This window comes from Homo sapiens, chromosome 4, assembly GCF_000001405.40.
Source record: "Homo sapiens chromosome 4, GRCh38.p14 Primary Assembly".
Classification (NCBI taxonomy): Eukaryota; Metazoa; Chordata; class Mammalia; order Primates; family Hominidae; genus Homo; species Homo sapiens.
The window spans coordinates 3,894,329-3,911,120 of NC_000004.12; the positions used below are offsets into that span (position 1 = coordinate 3,894,329).

Sequence of the window (16,792 nt, forward strand, 5' to 3'; positions counted from 1 at the left end):
AAGGTGGCGGGGTGTAGGGTGTTACAAACTTCAATGGTTATACGGGGATTTTCACAGAGCAAAGTTGGGTCCTTGGTGAGTCTGGCATTCGTTAGCCAATGATGTCCTTTAGTATTCATTAAAGTCACCACAGCACGGGAGGCCTTCATGCTCAGGTTTTGCCCAAGAGTCAGCTTATTTGCTTCTTGTACTATCAGGGCAGTTGCTGCCAAGGCCGTCAAACAGGGGGACCATCCTTCAGAAACCCCATCTAGTTGTTTAGAGAGGTAGGCCACCGGCCTCGGCCAGGGCCCCACAGTTTGGGTTCAAAGTCCAGCTGCCATCTTTTCTCTCTCTGATGCATACAATGGAAAAGGCTTTGTCAGATCGGATAGCCCCAGGGCTGGGGCTGCAGAAGTTTTTCCTTTAACTCATGAAAGACTTGCTGTTGTTGGGATCTGCATTCCAAAGGTTCCCAGTCCCCGCCTCCTTTGTGACCTCATACAAAGTCTTGGCTAATACTGCAAAGTTTGGGATCTGCAGTCTACAAAACCCCACAGCTCCTAAGAATTCTCTCACCTGCCTTCTGCTCTTAGGCTCTGCTAGATTGCAAATGACCTGCTTTCTTTCCGATCCCGGGCTGCGTTCCGACCCCTGTCCGATAGTAAATCCCAAGTAACGTACCTGCTGTGGGCAGATCTGGGCTTTCTTCGTGGACATCTTCTACCCACAGTCCTCCAGGTGCCGGTGTAGGGCATCTGTTCCCTTGGCACACCCGACTGCCGTGGGGTGTCCCAGCAGAAGGTCATCAACCTACTGGAGCAACACGCAGCCTAGGTCTCTGCTGGGAAACTTCTGGAGGTCTCGAGCCAACGCCTCCCCGAAGATGGTGGGGGAGTAGTTGAACCCTTGGGGAAGCTTGGTCCAAGTGTACTGAGTAGTGATACATGACTCCGGATCTTCCCACTGAAAGACAAACAGCTTCTGCCTCTCAGGGGCTACTCTGAGAGGAAAGAAAGCATCTTTCAGGTCCAAGCAGGTGAACCCGCTGTCCTCAGCTGGCAGCAACCCCAGCAATGTGGACGGGTTAGGTAGTGTTGGATGGAAAGTCAGTGTAGCTTGATGAAGCAAGCGCAAATCCTGTACCGGCCGGTAGTCCTCTGTCCGTGGCTTGGGAACAGGCACGAGGGGAGTGTTCCATGGAGACCGACAAGGAACAATAATTCCAAAAGTTCTTAGGTGCTTGAGACGGACCTGGATACCTTGAAGGGTTTCTGTGGGGACCGGGTCCTGTTTTTGCCTCACCGGCTGGGCCCCAGTCTTAACTGGCCAATCCCGGAGGGTTGTCTTCTGCCCGTACTCTTGGCCACCGCTTAGCCAGAGCTGGTCTTCTCTCTTGGCCCGGCTTAGTTCACAACAGTCTCCATTCGTCCTCTCGGGGACCATAAGGGTCATAATGACTCCCGTTCCGGGTAACTTGAGTAGCAAAGAGCCATGCTCTGTCAAAGAGATAGTGGCTCTCAGCTTGTTGAGCAAGTCCCTTCCCAAAAAGGTCAAGGGACAGTCAGGCATGTACCAAAACTGATGAATGACTTGATGTCCTCCTACAGGACAAGTCCGGGACAAGCAGAAAGCTTGCTTTGCTGAAACCCCCGTGGCTCCGATGACGTCAATAGTCTTTTTGGATAAGGGGGCGACCGAGGCGTTTACTAGCGAATGTTCAGCACCGCTATCTACAAGAAAGTCAATGTTTCCACCCCCGACTGTCATTCTGACCAGAGGCTCTTTGGGGACGCTTGAGCCCGGTCTCCCTCAGTCCAAGAACCCTTCTGCCAGGTTGAGCAGGGCCCCTTCCTCCTTGTCCGGGGCCTCCTGCTCTGAGTCACCTTGTTTTCTTTTGAGCTCAGGGCATTTGTTCTTCCACTGTCCTATTTCTTTACAATAAGCACACTGGGTACGCTGCAAACTCTGACAGCCAAGCTGAGTTTCCTTCCCATGGCCCCCCTTCCCTTGCCTCTTTGGGGGGACCCCTCTGATTGCCGCAGCTGACAAACAGGGCGGCTTGTCGCCGGGCCTGTCCTCCATTCTCTTTGCCATTTTCCTTAGGGCTTACTGCATCCCTGTTTACAAACACCTGGCTAGCTATTTCTAGTAATTGGGATGGATTCATCCCTGCAAGCCCAGCCTGTTTCTGCAGTTTTCTTCTCATGTCTTCTGCGCTTTGACAGACTAAAGCCATGGGAATCATGAGCTGATTTCAGGGCTATCGAGATCAAAGGGAGTATACATATGATAAGCCTCACACAGTCTCTCGTAGAATTGGGCTGGACTTTCTTTTTTTCCCTGAATGACCTCAGAGAGCTTGTTAATGTTTGTGGCCTTCCGAGCTTCCCTCATGAATCCTTCCAAGAGAGCTTCCCTGTCTCGGTTTAGCCTGTGCATATCCTCTCTTTCATGTGGGTCCAAATGGGGGTCGGTTCCTGGGGACTGGGTCCTTCCATACTCTTGGGGGTTTTGATAATCAGCTGGAGCATGTTCCTCTAGCCACTTAGTTGCTGCTTGGAGGACTCTCCGCCTGTCTTCGCTGTTAAAGAGGAACATGAGCAACTGGTGCCAATCAGCCCAGGTGGGCTTGTGGGTCTGGATAACAGTTTGGAGCAAATCAAGTAGGGCTTGTGGCTTTTCGGTAGAGGGTGGTGTAGTGTTTTTCCAGTAGATAAGGTCGACGCAGGTGAAGGGCTGGTACCCAAAAACACGCCTCTCCACCACGTGACCATCCTCATCTATCGCAGTATACCCCTGCTCTCTCAGGGGCATTTGTGTCCCCGTTTTGTGTCGCAAACGAGCTGCCGAGGGAGGGGTGGAATGGCGCAATGCGACTTACCGCAATTAATAATCTCAATTATTAATTGACACTAATAATTATCAATATTAATAACCCATAATATAATTTTTAAAATCAATACCGATAATAATGATAATTAATATTAAACAGTTATACTAACGATCACAATAAATGATTAATATTAATGATTAAAGACGCCTGACATTAATAACTGATATTGATCTTATTCATTAGAAAACAGTAATATTAGCCCCTAATAATATTAATATTAATAAACAGAAAACTTTTTATTAGCAATTATTTGTTAATATTGATATTAATATCGGTTATTCATATTCATGTTAACAATAAATGAGGAATAATTCATACTAATATTACGTCCTAATACCTCAGTGGGTGCACACCCACCTGTGATATTGCTCCTCATGTCCAGGGAGGGAGAGAGTATGATATTACGTTTAATATCGCAGTAGGTGTACACCCAGCCGGTGATATAGATCCGAATATAATCTCCAGGGGGTGGAGTATGACGTTACTCCCAATATAGCACTGGGTGTGCATCCTCCCGGTGATTTTGCTCCTAATATTCAAGGAAGAAGAGAATGCTATTACTCCCAACATCGCAGGAAGTGTACACCCCCGTGTGAGATGGTCCTTAAAAATATTCCAAGGCGGAAGGGGTGATATGACTACATATATGGCAGAAAGTAGACACCCCCAAGGATATTATTCCCATGATTCTGAAGGGAAGAGGATGATATTACTTTCAATATCACAGAAGGTGGACACGCCCCCACTGATATTGTTTCTAAAAGCAACGTGGGAGAGGAGGACATGACACCCGATATCCCAGGGAGTAGAAAGACCCCTATGATAGTGTTCTTAAAATACAAGGAGGAAGAGGATGATATGACTCCCAATAAAGACGGGTGTACAACCTCTGTACACCAAGGGTGTACACCCGTCTGTGAAACAGTTCATAATCTCCAGAGTGGGAGATGATATTACTCACAATATGACAAACAGGAGGTGAGTCCAGCGCGGATCCTAAGAGCCAGGGGGGCAAGAGGGGCTGGCTCTTACTCCCCGCATCGCGGGGGGCGCCTCGCCCCCCTGCGATTTAGATCGTAATATCCGGGGAGGAGAGGCGGGTGCTACTACTCCCCGCATTGCGGGGGGCGCCCTCACCCCCCTGCGTTGTGGCTCGTAATATCCAATGTCGAGAGGGGGTGATATTACTCCCTTTCTCCTATTATATTTTCTCTACTGCCACACTTAGTTAACACCCCGGGACATTATTTTCCATATTCTAGGATGGTGTCACTGTTTAAGTCCCAGGGGTTATACACCCTGTGATATTATTCGTGGTATTGTTGCGAAACGTGAATCCTTATTTCACATGTCTCTACACACTCTGATATTATTCGCAATGCCCTAGCGGTACGGTAATAATAAGGTCACAATGTGTGTACAGCTTGTGCTATTATTCTTCATGTCCTACGGGGAGGTTGATTTTATTGTCACACGGAGTATTTTCCCTTTCGTATGATTCGGAATATCCTGGAGGCATGTCACTCCTTATGTCACAGGGTTTGTACACCTTTTCATATTACTCGTATTACCCTTATAAGATGCCACTCCTCATATCAGCGAGGGTGTACACTGTATGATGTTATCGTCATGTTCTAGGGAAATGTTACTTTTAATGTCACAGATGTTGCACACCCTGTGAAATTATTCGTTATAATTTTGTGGGATGTGACTCCTAACGTCACACGGGGTGTACACACAGTGATATTCCGTGTAATCTTCTATAGAAATGTTACTCGTAAATCACAGGTCCTGTACACCCTTTAATATTCTTCGTCTTATTCTAGGAAAACGTGACTACTAATGTCACAGGGTGTGTAGACCCTGTCAGAAAATTCATAATATCCCAGTGGGAGTTCACTACTAATTTCGCAATGCTTGCACACCCTTTGATATTGCTCGTATTATCCTAAAGAGATGTGACTACTGATGTCCCAATGCATGTACATTCTCCGATATTATTCCTTATATCCTCAGGGGATGTGACTTCTAATGACACACGGCGTGTAGTCCCTGTGTTCTATTTCATAATATCCTAGGGCAATTGCACTGTTAATGACACAGGGGTGTCATTATTATTATGATATTATTCATGATATTGTAGAAGGATGTTACTCCTAACGTCACAGGGGTGTACCCCCTGTGATAGTATTCATAATTTCCCTGGGGTCTATACTCCTAATGTCACAGAAGATAACACCCTGTGACATTATTTGTAATATTCTGGTGAGATGATTCTCCTTATATCACAGGAGGTGTACACCCTGTGATAGCATTCTTACTATTCTAGGGGGATGTCACTCGTAATGTCACATGTGTCTTCCTTCTGTGATATTACTGGAAATATGCTAGCTGGATATTACTTCTAATGTCACAATGTGTGTACGCCTTGTGATATTATTAGTAATATTCTGGGGGGATGTTACCCCTAACGTTACAGGGGCGTACACAGTGTGATATTGCTCCCAATATTATAGGGGGATGTTACTCCTAATGTCACAGGGGGTGTACAGCCTTCGATATTATTTGTAATCTTATAGAGAGTTATTACTTTAATGATCACAGTGGGTGTACACACATGGGATACACCCACTGGGATATTATATGTAATATCTTAGGGAGATATAACTCCTAATATCACAGTGGGTGTACCCCATGTGTGTACATCCTGTGATATTATTTGTAATATCCATGGTAAACATTATTTCTAGTATCCCACAGAGGGTACACCCTGTGATATTTTTCATAATATCATAGGGAGATATTGCTTCTAATAACACAGTGGCTGTACACCATGTGTGTACACTCTGTGATGTGATAGCTTATACCCTAGGGAGATATTCCTTCTAATATCAGAGTGAGTGTACACCTTGTGATATCATTCGTAATCTCCTAGAAAGATGTTGCTGCTAATATCACAGAGGGTGTGCCCCCAGTGACATCATTCGAAATATCCTAGGGAGATGTTACTCGTAATGTCACAGGGGTTGTACACCCTGTTATATTATTGTAATATTCTAGGGGGGCGTTGCTTTTAAAGTCACAGGGGTGTAAACCCTGTGATGTTATTCGTAATATCCTAGGAAGGGGTTACTCCTAATATCACATGGGTTATACTAGGAAGAGGTTACTCCTAATATCACACTCCTAATATCACACCCTGTGATAGCATTCGGAATATCCAAAAGTGATGTTTCTTTTAATGTCACATGGGGTGTACACCCTTTGATAATATTCGTAAGATCCCATGGATATATGACTTCAAATATAACATTGGGTGTACACACATGGTGTACACAGGGTGTGTGAACACCTCCTGTGGTATTATCCATAATATCCTAGGAAAATGGGACTCCTAATATGACGGTCTTTGGACACCCTGTGATGTGATTGGTGATATCCTAAAGAGATGTTACCACTAAGGTCACAATGTCTGTATGCCCCCTGATATTATTCGTTATATCCTCGGGGGATGTTAGTCCTAATGTCACACGGGGTGTACTCCCTGTGATGTTATTCGTAATATCCTAGGGTGATGTTACTTTCAATGTTACTGGGGGCATATATCATGCATATTCAACGCCTGTGATACTATTCCTAATACCCTAGGAGCATGTTCCTCCTAATGTTCACATGGGGTGAACACCATATGTGTACACCTGCTGTGATATTATTTGTAATATCCTAGGGGAGTATTACTCCTGATGGCACAGGAGATGTACACCATGTGTGTCAACCGCCTGTGTCATTATTCATAATATCCTAGGGGGATGTTCCCTTGAATGGCACAAAGTGTGCACAAAAGGTCACAGAAGGTGTGCACCTTGTGATGTTATCTGCAATACCCTAGAAGGATGTTACTCCTAATATGTCACAGGGGTGTACACACTTTGATATTATTTGTAATCTCATAGAGAGTTATGACTTCAAATATCACAGTGGATGTTCACACATAGTGTATACCCTGTGATATTATTCGTAATATCCTGGGGAGATGCAACTCCTGATATCACAGTGCGTGTACCCGGTGTGTGTACACCCTTGATATGAGTCGTGATATCCAGGGTAAATATGACTCCTCATATCACACAGTGTGCACACCCTGTGATATTTTTCATCCTACTTTAGGGAGATATTGCTTCTAATATCACAGTGGGTGTACCCCATGTGTGTGTACTCTGTGACAGTATATTCTATATCCTAGGGAGGTATTCTCGTAATGTCACAGTGGGTGTTCACCCTGTGATATCATTCTTATGTGACCTTGCTGCCTTTTTGAACCCACCCTACAAAAGGAATGGAACAGATAAGAAGGTCTTGAGATTAGACCGTGCTGCCGTGCGGCTGCCGCAGGACACTTTTCATATCCCTGTTTCTCAGGCTGTAGATGAAGGGGTTCAGCATGGGGGTGACCACCGTGTACATCACTGAGGCCACTGCACTCTTTCTCGGGGAAGATGACACATCTGAACCGAGGTACCCTCCAACGCCTGTTCCACAAAATCAGCAAACAACTGACAGGTGAGACCCACAGGTGGAGAAGGTTTATACTTCCCACCTGATGATGAAACCCTCAGAATGGAGGAAACAATTTTACTCCATTGTAAGAGAAAAGGTCCCCGAGATGGGAAGAAAACCAAATACAGCAGCAGGGAAATACATGTTGATGTTCCTGGTGAAGGTGTCACAACATGCAAGATGGGGGAGTTGAGAAGGTTCCCAGAGGAAATTAGGAATTTCCACATCTTTGAAGCAGGTCATTTGTAAGGCAATCAAGTTGTGCAGCTGGGAGTCTAAAAGACTGAGAAAAACAAAACAAAACAAAACAAAACAAAACAAAACAAAGACAACAAATCTAGGAAGGCACAGAATCACGGGCTCAAGATGGCTGAACGATATAGAGGGTGACAGATGGCTACAAACCGGTCATAGGCCATCACACTCAGGAGCATGTCTCTCTTCCATGCCTCCAAAAATGGCAAAGAGAGACATCTGAGTCAGGCAGCCTGCATAGGAGATGACTCTGCTGTGAGACTGGATGTCCACAATCATCTTGGCGACTGTGGTGGAGGTGAAACCGATGTCAGGCAAGGGCAGTTTGGAGAGGAAGAAGTACATGGGGGTGTGGAGGTGGGAGTCAGCGCTGACGGCCAGGATGATGAGCAGGTTCCCCAGCACCGTGACCAGGCGCATGGACAGGAACAGCCCAGTGACGACCGGCTGCAGTTCTGGATCCTCTGAGAGTTCGAGGAAGAGGAATATAGAGACATCTGTTAGACTCTGTGGGTCTCTATAGTTTGGACACCTTTTGCCTGGAAAAGAGGGTTGAAAAATCGGAAACAAGTAAACCAATACCCAGCATTGTGTCTGCATTTTGGTTATAAGCAATTCACAAGTAATGTTTTCAGATTTCAGAGCAATCCACACTCAGCAATATTTTGTAGTTCTGACAAGCTCAATTGCCTTATAATGCTTTCAACATCGATTGCTGTGTTATTCACGTCTTGCTGTACACACCTGCCTTAGAGACACTAGCTTCAAGAACGTTCCAAGAACCAGATCATCATATATAACAAATTGGTAATTGCTGGAAAATACAGCCTATCTTTTCCGAAGAACAAGATGTAATAAAACCATTGTCTTCACTTTAAGAAAAAGGTTATCCTAATTAAAGGAAATTAAGAACTCAAATATTTTATTTATTCTACTACATTGATACAAATTCCCTTGATTTAGAACATTTGTAAACGCTGTATAACAGCTGAGACCATGCCATCTGGAAATGAAATGAAAGTTGATAGTTCATAAGCAGAGAATAGGTCCTAGTGATTTCATCATTCTGTTTTCGGACTTTTCTCCTTCAAGAGAGTAATTGCTTACTCAAATCAGTGGGTCTTGTTTTAAAATTCATGGAAGCTCTAACTCCTGTCCTTAGCTTAGGTGGACTTAGAGTTTTCATCAGAAAGTTTGGCCGGATGCGGTGGCTCATGCCTGTAATCCCAGCACTTTGGGAGGCTGAGGAGGGCGGATCACGGGGTCAGGAGATCAAGACCATCCTGGCCAACATGGTGGAACCCCGCCTCTACTAAAAATACAAAAACTTCGCCCAGTATGGCGGCGCGCGCCTGTGGTCCCAGCTACTCGGGAGGCTGAGGCAGGAGAATGGCTTGAACCTGGGAGGCAAAGACTACAGTGAGCCGAAATCACACCACTGCACGCCAGCCTGGGCAACGAGAGCAAAACTCCGTCTCAAAAAACAAAAACCAAAAAGAATCAAGTAAGCCAAAGTCACGCTGATGACAGCCAATTTTGATGAAGCAAGGAAGGGTCAATTCAACCATTAACATAGATTTTGACTTTTGCTGTCTCCTATGTGCCAAGCAAGATATAGGCTCTGGGGAATCAGAAACCAAAGAGACTCACTTGTTCCTCTCACAGTACTCAGTACTTACTGAGAGAAGGACAAAACAAAATGTCCTGTCTGGAATGCAGGGAAACCAGAACTTCAGGTCAGGGGATATTTCCGTTGAATTGTGTGGAGTTGAAGTTGAAAATCTTAAGGAATGTATCTAAAATTCACTTTGCCTTTACTTTATGTATCCGTCACCTAGAGATCACGCAGCGGGCGCCCACGATCAGCTTAATCAACACTCACTTCCATCGGATCAACTGGAAATCAAGTCAGATGAGAGTGCTGAGTCTCAGAGGATGGACATCTCACCCCTTGCCATACAGAGAAGTAGAAAGGGTGGTATTCAAAATTCATGGCCAGACTCGAAGTCCCGGGTACTATACTCCCTGGACTTCCAACTCTCAAAAAGTTGTGGGTTTTTTTGGTTTTTGTTTTTGTTTTTGTTGTTTTGAGATGGAGTCTCGTTCCGTTGCCCAGGCTGGAGTGCAATGGAGTGATCTCGGCTCACCGCAACCTCTGCATCCCAGGTTCAAGCTATTCTCCTGCCTCAGCCTGCCAATTAGCTGAGATGACAGGCGCCCGCCACTACGCCTGGCTCATTTTTTTCTATTTTGAGTAGAGACGTGGTTTCACCATGTTGGCCAGGCTGGTCTCGAATTCCTGACCTTGTGATTCGCCTGCCTCAGCCTCCCAAAGGGCTGGGATTACAGGCATGAGCCACCGCTCCCAGCTTCCAAAAGTTTTAAGCAGAGCTCAGAGGTCTTAACCACAGGCACATCGGAGGAGCATTTTTGAAATGCTTTCCAGCTTCCTCAGTAGGAATGGAAGCCAAACTCCGAATTGATGACTCCTTGGAGGAAGTCGAGAGCTGTAAGGAAAGCCAGGAACAGGGGCAAGGGAGAGATGCGTCCCGAATGATCCTGTGCCAATTCTTTCTGGAATCCTCGATGTGATCTCAGCTGCCCTTTCCATACTTGACACAGTGATTCTGGCACCCACTGGTCTAGCTGTGGTCTACAAGGAACCCCCAAAGGGAAGGGCACAGTGAGCAGGGGCATCCGCCTGAGTGACGAGGATTTGAGAGGGCAGGTTGGTTACAGGGAGAGGACTGGCCAAATGCCATGTGTCTGCACTTAGACTGTCTGGTTCAAATTGGACTTCACCCTTTTTGACTTCATGATCTAGTACGAGTTATATGAAAAGGTGTTGCTCCTTTTCTAGTCTGTAAAATCATCCTGAAATGTGCACTAATAACGTGGAGACTACGCAGATGAAATGAAACAGGCTGCATAGAGCACAGAGCTCAGAGCCTGGCCTTTAGGAAGCCCTCAGTAAGAGTTCATGATGCCATGGTGTCTGTCGTCTTCCTCTTTATCCTCATCATCACCTTCATAATCTTTTTGTTGTTCTTAGGGAATAGTTTAGAGGTACTGATTCCCTGCTATCATGGGTGAGATGTCTATGAAAAGCACAACCAGTGGGGGAGGAAAGCAAAGTGTTGAATAAGATTTCTGAGATCCCCAGCACAACCAAGAACAGAAACTGCACAGTCTGCTGAGCGGACAGTTTGCACATTGGTCTCCTCCCATCTGCCCACTGCACTCTCCTGTTTGTCCTGAGGAGGAGGAAACCAAACAAGGCTCCCGACCGTCCCTCAACACTCACTTGAAGGTGTGCCCTGGCCCTCCACACCTGTGGGTATTTCTAGTTGGGTGGGATGAGACACTGAGGAAGGAAATAAGACACAGACACAAAGTACAGAGAAACGACAGTGAGCCCAGGGGACAAGCGCTCAGCATACTAAGGATCTGCACCAGCACTGGCCTCTGAGTTCCCTCAGTTTTTATTGATTATTATTTTTATTATTTTAGCAAAAAGGAATGTAGTAGGAGGGCAGGATGATAATAAGGAGAAGGTCAGCAACGAACATGTGAGCAATAGAATCTATGTCATAATGAAGTTCAAGGGAAGGTACTATGACTGGACGTGTACGTAAGCCAGATTGATGTTTCTCTCCACCCAAACATCTCAGTGGAGTAAAGAATAACAAGGCAGCATTGCTGCAAACATGTCTCACCTCCCAACATAGGGTGGTTTTTCCCCCATCTCAGAATTGAACAAATGTACAATCGGGTTTTATACCGAGACATTTATTTCCCAGGGTCAGGCAGGAGACAGTGGCCTTCTTCTCTCTCAACTGCAAGAGGCTTTCCTCTTTGACTAATCCACCTCAGCACAGACCCTTTCGGGTGTCGGGCTCGTGGACGGTCAGGTCTTTCTCATCCCACGAGGCCACATTTCAGACTATCACATGGGGAGAAACCTTGGACAATACGCTGCTTTCAAGGGCAGGGCTCCCTGTGGCTTTCCACAGTGTATTGTGCCCCTGGGTTATTGAGACTAGAGAATGGCGATGACTTTTACCAAGTATACTGCTTGGAAACATCTTGTTAACAAGGCACGTCCTGCACAGCCCTAGATCCCTTAAACCTTGATTTCATACAACACATGTTTTTGTGAGCTTCAGGTTGGGTCAAAGTGGCTGGGGCAAAGCTACACATTAACAACATCTCAGCAAAGCAATGGTTGAAAGTACAGGTCTTTCTCAAATTGGAGTCTCTTATGTCTTTCCTTTCTACATAGACACAGTAAGAGTCTGATCTCTCTTTCTTTTGCCTACACTCACTGAACTGCCCTTCCCCTCTCCTGGGCCATGACCACAGAGAACAGGTCCACTGTCCTCCCTGCGTGGTGCACCATGGATGCTCAGACTCCATCCTCAAGGCTGGCAAGAAGACAGGGTGAGACATGAGGCTCCTGATACAGGTGACGGCTGTGGAGCCCACAGGACTGCAACCTCACACTGCAGGGCTGGAGGCACAGACTGAGTATTTACTGTTCTGTGGCCTGGGGGGCTCAAGGCACAGAGCTCCTCATTAGCCAAAATCACCCAAGTTCCCCAACCTCTAAGGATTTCCTCATCACCATGCAAGAACAAGAAGAGAAAATGATTGTCCATAGAAGCTTTGGGACTCTTCCTCTAATCAGGAGAAAGCTGGTATGTATTATTCACTTCTTTCTTTTCTTTTTAAAAATCCAACTGCTTTAATTTTCATCTTTCATTATGGGAAAATATACCACGTATAAATATGAAAAATTATAAATATATATTAGTTCATATAGAATGGCCAGTGTAAACATTTACAGTTTCCACTCTTTTTCACTTTACAGTTTAATGACATTAAGTACGTTCACATTGTTTAGCAACCATCACCGCCATCATCTCCGGAACAGTTTTGTTTTTCAAAATGGAAATTGCACCCATTCACCAAGCTCTCCACTCCTCTCTCTCGCCCACCCCTGGGGGCCACCTTTCTAGTTTGCAACTCTAGGAGTCTAACTACTCTAGACACTTGATAGATAAGTAGAATCATACCGCGTTTAATTTTTTTTTTTTTTAGATACAGAGTCTTTCTCTGTCGCCCAGGCTGGAGTGCAGTGGCATGATTTTGGCTCACTGCAGCCTCCACATCGGGGGTTCAAGCAATTCTTATGTCTCAGTCTCCCGACTAGCTGGGATTACAGGCGTGTGCTATCACGCCCAGCTAATTTTTGTATTTTTAATAGAGACGAGCTTTCACCATATTGGCCAGGCTGGTCTCGAACTCCAGACCTGAAGTGATCCGCCTGCCTCAACCTCCCCAAATGCTGGGGTTACAGGTGCGAGCCACTGAGCCTGGGCATGTTTATCCTTTTGGGATTTATTTATTTCACTGACGATGATGTCTTCAAGGTTCATCCGTGTTGCGGCCTGCATCAGAAGTGCCTGTTTGCTTTTGTTGTTGTTTTTTATTTGGTTTTATTTTGTTTTGTTTTGCGTTTTCATGGAGTGTCACTCTGTTGCACAGGCTGGAGTGCAGTGGCACAATCTGGGCTCACCGCAACCTCCGCCTCCCGGGTTCGAGCGATTCTTGCGCCTCAGACTCCTTAGTAGCTGAGATTACAGGTGCGTGCCACCACACCAGCTAATTTTTGTATTTTTGGTAGAGATGGGGTTTGCCATGTTGGCCAAGCTGGTCTTGAACTCCTGACCTCAGGTGATCCACCCGCCTCAACTTCCCAAAGTGTTAAGATTACAGAATTGAGCCACTGTGCCCAGCCCAAGGACGTGTATATTTTCTATAGACTTTTGATGATAATACTTTGACAGCAAATATATTGTGACTATCTATATATACATATATATATATAGAGAGAGAGTGTGTGAGAGAGCGAGAAAGAGAGAAAGAGAGAGAGTCTCCCTTTTTCACACAGACTGGAGTGCAGTGGCACAATCACAGCATGCTGCGGCCTTAAATTTCTGGGCTCAAACAATCCTGTCACCTCAGCCTCCTGAGTAGCTGGGACTACAGGCATGTACTACCATGCCCGGCTAACTTTTTATTATATTTTCTTGTAGAGATGAGGTCTGACTTTTTTGCCCGGGCTGGTCTTAAACTCCTGGCTGAATGTGATCCTCCTGCCTTGGCCTCCCCAAGTGCTGGGATTACAGCTGTGAGCCATTGCATCTGGTGTGAAGCTGGGATTGCAGGTGTGGGACATGGCATGTGGTGTGAATATCTCCTGGTAACTACCTTGTACTTTCACTTTCATTAAGATGTCTTTCGACCTCATGAAATTATCTGAAAAACAGAGATGAAACACTGTTCTGCTCCATCTTCCCTGCAGGCACTTGGGCCCCATCCTGCTCTCTTGCCCCCTCTTCTAGTGAATGGCCAGATAGGAACTATTGCAGCTTTATGGGCCATGTGGTCTCTGTTGCAAATATAACAGCTCTGCTGTAGTAGTGCAAAAGCAACCACAGACCATATGGAAACCATCTTTCCTGCATGGCCTCTGTAATCTTTTAGAAATACCCGTTGGGTCACACCACTGTCTGACTTAAAACATATAGATGACCTCTTCCGTCTCCTAAGCTATTAGGTTGGTGCAAAAGTAATTGCTGTTTCCATTAAAAGTAATGGCAGAAATTGGCTGGGCATGGTGGCTCACACCTGTAATTCCAGCAGTTTGGGAGACCGAGGCAGGTGGATCACTTGAGGTCAGCAGTTTGAGATCAGCCTGGACAACATGGTGAAACCCCATCTCTACTAAAAATACAAAAATTAAAATTAGCTGGGGGTGGTGGCATGTGCCTGTAGTCCCAGCTACTTGGGAGGATGAGGCAGGAAAATGGCTTGAACCTGGGAGACGGAGGTTGCAGTGATCCAAGATCACACCAGTGCACTCCAACCTGGGTGACCAAGACAGACTCTGATAAAAAAAAAATAAATAATGGCGGAAATCACAATTACTTTTGCACCATCCTAATAAAAGTCAAGTCCTGACCACAGCCTAGGAAGCCGGCTATGACCTGGCCCTTTTCACCCTCCCCAAGTTCAACTCCCGAGACCTTCCGTTTCCTCTCTGCTCCCCGCTCTGGCCTCCCATTCCTCACTCTTGTTGCATCAGATGCCTGCGCACCCTGGTGTTTCTGCATGTGCTCTTCTGTTAGCCTGGAAAGTTCTTTCCTCCCTCTTCATCCAGCACTACTAGATACCTCCCCCTGCCTTGGCCTAGCCAGGTCCCCTGTCATTTAGTCTCAGAGTATCTTGAATGTCTTCTTCACAGCCCAACTTACAATCCTCAGTCACTTGCTGAGTGGGTGCCATCCTTTCTCTCCACCTAGAATGCAAGCTCCCTCAGGGCAGGGGCTGGAACCGTCTTGTTCTTTGCCAAATCCCCAGTGCCATCTCTGGCACAGAGTGGGCATTATGAAAATATTTGCTGAGTGCATAAAAGGAGGGAATCATGGATTTGAGCCCTCGGCTTGGCGCCCTGGAGATGTGGCTCCATAAAATCAGTTCCCATTTTTTCTCTCTCCTCTTCTCCTGGGAGCTGGGTGTCTGGGTTCTCCTGCCAGGAGAGCTTCTCTCTCATAAGACTCCAGGTGCCTCTTGGCCTAGGCCTGCCTCCTGCTAAGTGAGACTCTTTAGGGTTAGTCTGCATCGACTCTGCTGAGATGCAGCCGCCAGAGCTGGGTAACATGGGCCATGTTTGGCAGGTCCCTGGGAAGGAGGCTTCCGAGTCATCTGGATCAACTAGTTTGAAGTTACAAACTCACCAGATGTTGGTCATCTGGAATCCTAGTGATGAGCTGGTCCAACCCCTCCTGTTGTAGTCAAGTCACTTGTGGAAAGCCACCACTTGGCTGGGACCCCAAGCTCAGGCCAGGGCTCTCTCCATGGTCCCAGGCTTTACACTAAGGGAATGTCAAGTGTTCTCCAGAATCACTTGGACTACTTTATACTTTTGTGTCTCCTTTTCCTATTCTGTATTCTGGAAAAACAGAGTTTTCCTTGTGATTGAACAGAATCTTCACACTGTGTTATTGCCGGCATTGTTTTAAATTTAGCCTTGGTTCATCCCCAGCTGGAGTGAATGACTTTCATTTGATCAGCTGCCGTATGCCCTTGGGAACCTCCAAAGGGGGTCCTATGGCCTTTAAGGCTCCTTTCCACTCTTAGATCCTGACTTGGGGCAAACACACACTCCAGCTCGTCATGTCCAGATAAGACACCCAGAGGCCATGGCGAGGGTTCCCCCTGTCGGGGCCCTATAGCGGTTGAGAGGATCAAGGCAGCAGTCAGGGCCTGATGGTTGTCCAGAGGAAAGCACAAAGCATACCGAGCGCTGGTCTGACAGCACTTAGGGGTGTGACAGAAACTTTCTGTCATGGAACCAGAGATTGGAGACCGTGGGAACACATCCGAATCCACATCTCCCTGACAAGGTGGTGCTGATCTCCAGTGGTCCTCCCTGGTCGGGGAATCACATAGCTCTGACTCTGGAGCGTGTTGTTGTGTTTCTCTTTCAGTATGAGCTTGTCTGTGGCCCTGGAGTTCCTCCCTTATGAAACAATAATGCCTCCCAACACAGGACATCCCAGGCTGCAAGCTTGTCCCTTCTGCCCAGCTTCCTTACCCCTTACCACAAAAGGTGCCCCAAAAGCCCACAGCAGGGCCTGCCAGAGGCTGACGACATATCTTTCACTGTCCCAAGGGGGCAGGAGCAGCGATGGAAATATTAGGCCACAAAAGGCATGCCTGCAGGCACATATGAGGGAAACACCCAAAGCCAGATGTCAATGAAACAGTAATTTGGTGGAGTAGGAGAGGTCATATTCTCATGCAAGACTGTCTAAATACATAAGTCTCCTGGGGCACAATCTGCCAAGGGACAATGGTTCATGCCGCGCCACCTATTACACTGCCTTGCTAAGAACTTCCAACACACACTTACACACAAAGATACACACGCACATATGCATGCACACACATGCATGCATACACACATGCACCCACACACACATGCAAGCACACATAGAGATACACACACACACACAAACACACATACAGATACACATA

The 16,792-nt window shown here is 46.4% G+C and overlaps 1 pseudogene, besides 2 other annotated features; it reads right to left on the minus strand.

Annotated features, from left to right (window-relative positions):
- Positions 7,178–8,212, minus strand: OR7E162P (olfactory receptor family 7 subfamily E member 162 pseudogene; annotated as a pseudogene).
- Positions 14,639–15,139: an enhancer, noted in NCBI's record as "H3K27ac hESC enhancer chr4:3910694-3911194 (GRCh37/hg19 assembly coordinates)". NCBI's record gives its function as "activates a minimal SCP1, AML or CMV promoter by ChIP-STARR-seq in naive H9 embryonic stem cells {active_cell/tissue: H9 hESC(naive)}" and the evidence as "EXISTENCE:reporter gene assay evidence [ECO:0000049][PMID:30033119]".
- Positions 15,140–15,640: an enhancer, noted in NCBI's record as "H3K27ac hESC enhancer chr4:3911195-3911695 (GRCh37/hg19 assembly coordinates)". NCBI's record gives its function as "activates a minimal SCP1, AML or CMV promoter by ChIP-STARR-seq in naive H9 embryonic stem cells {active_cell/tissue: H9 hESC(naive)}" and the evidence as "EXISTENCE:reporter gene assay evidence [ECO:0000049][PMID:30033119]".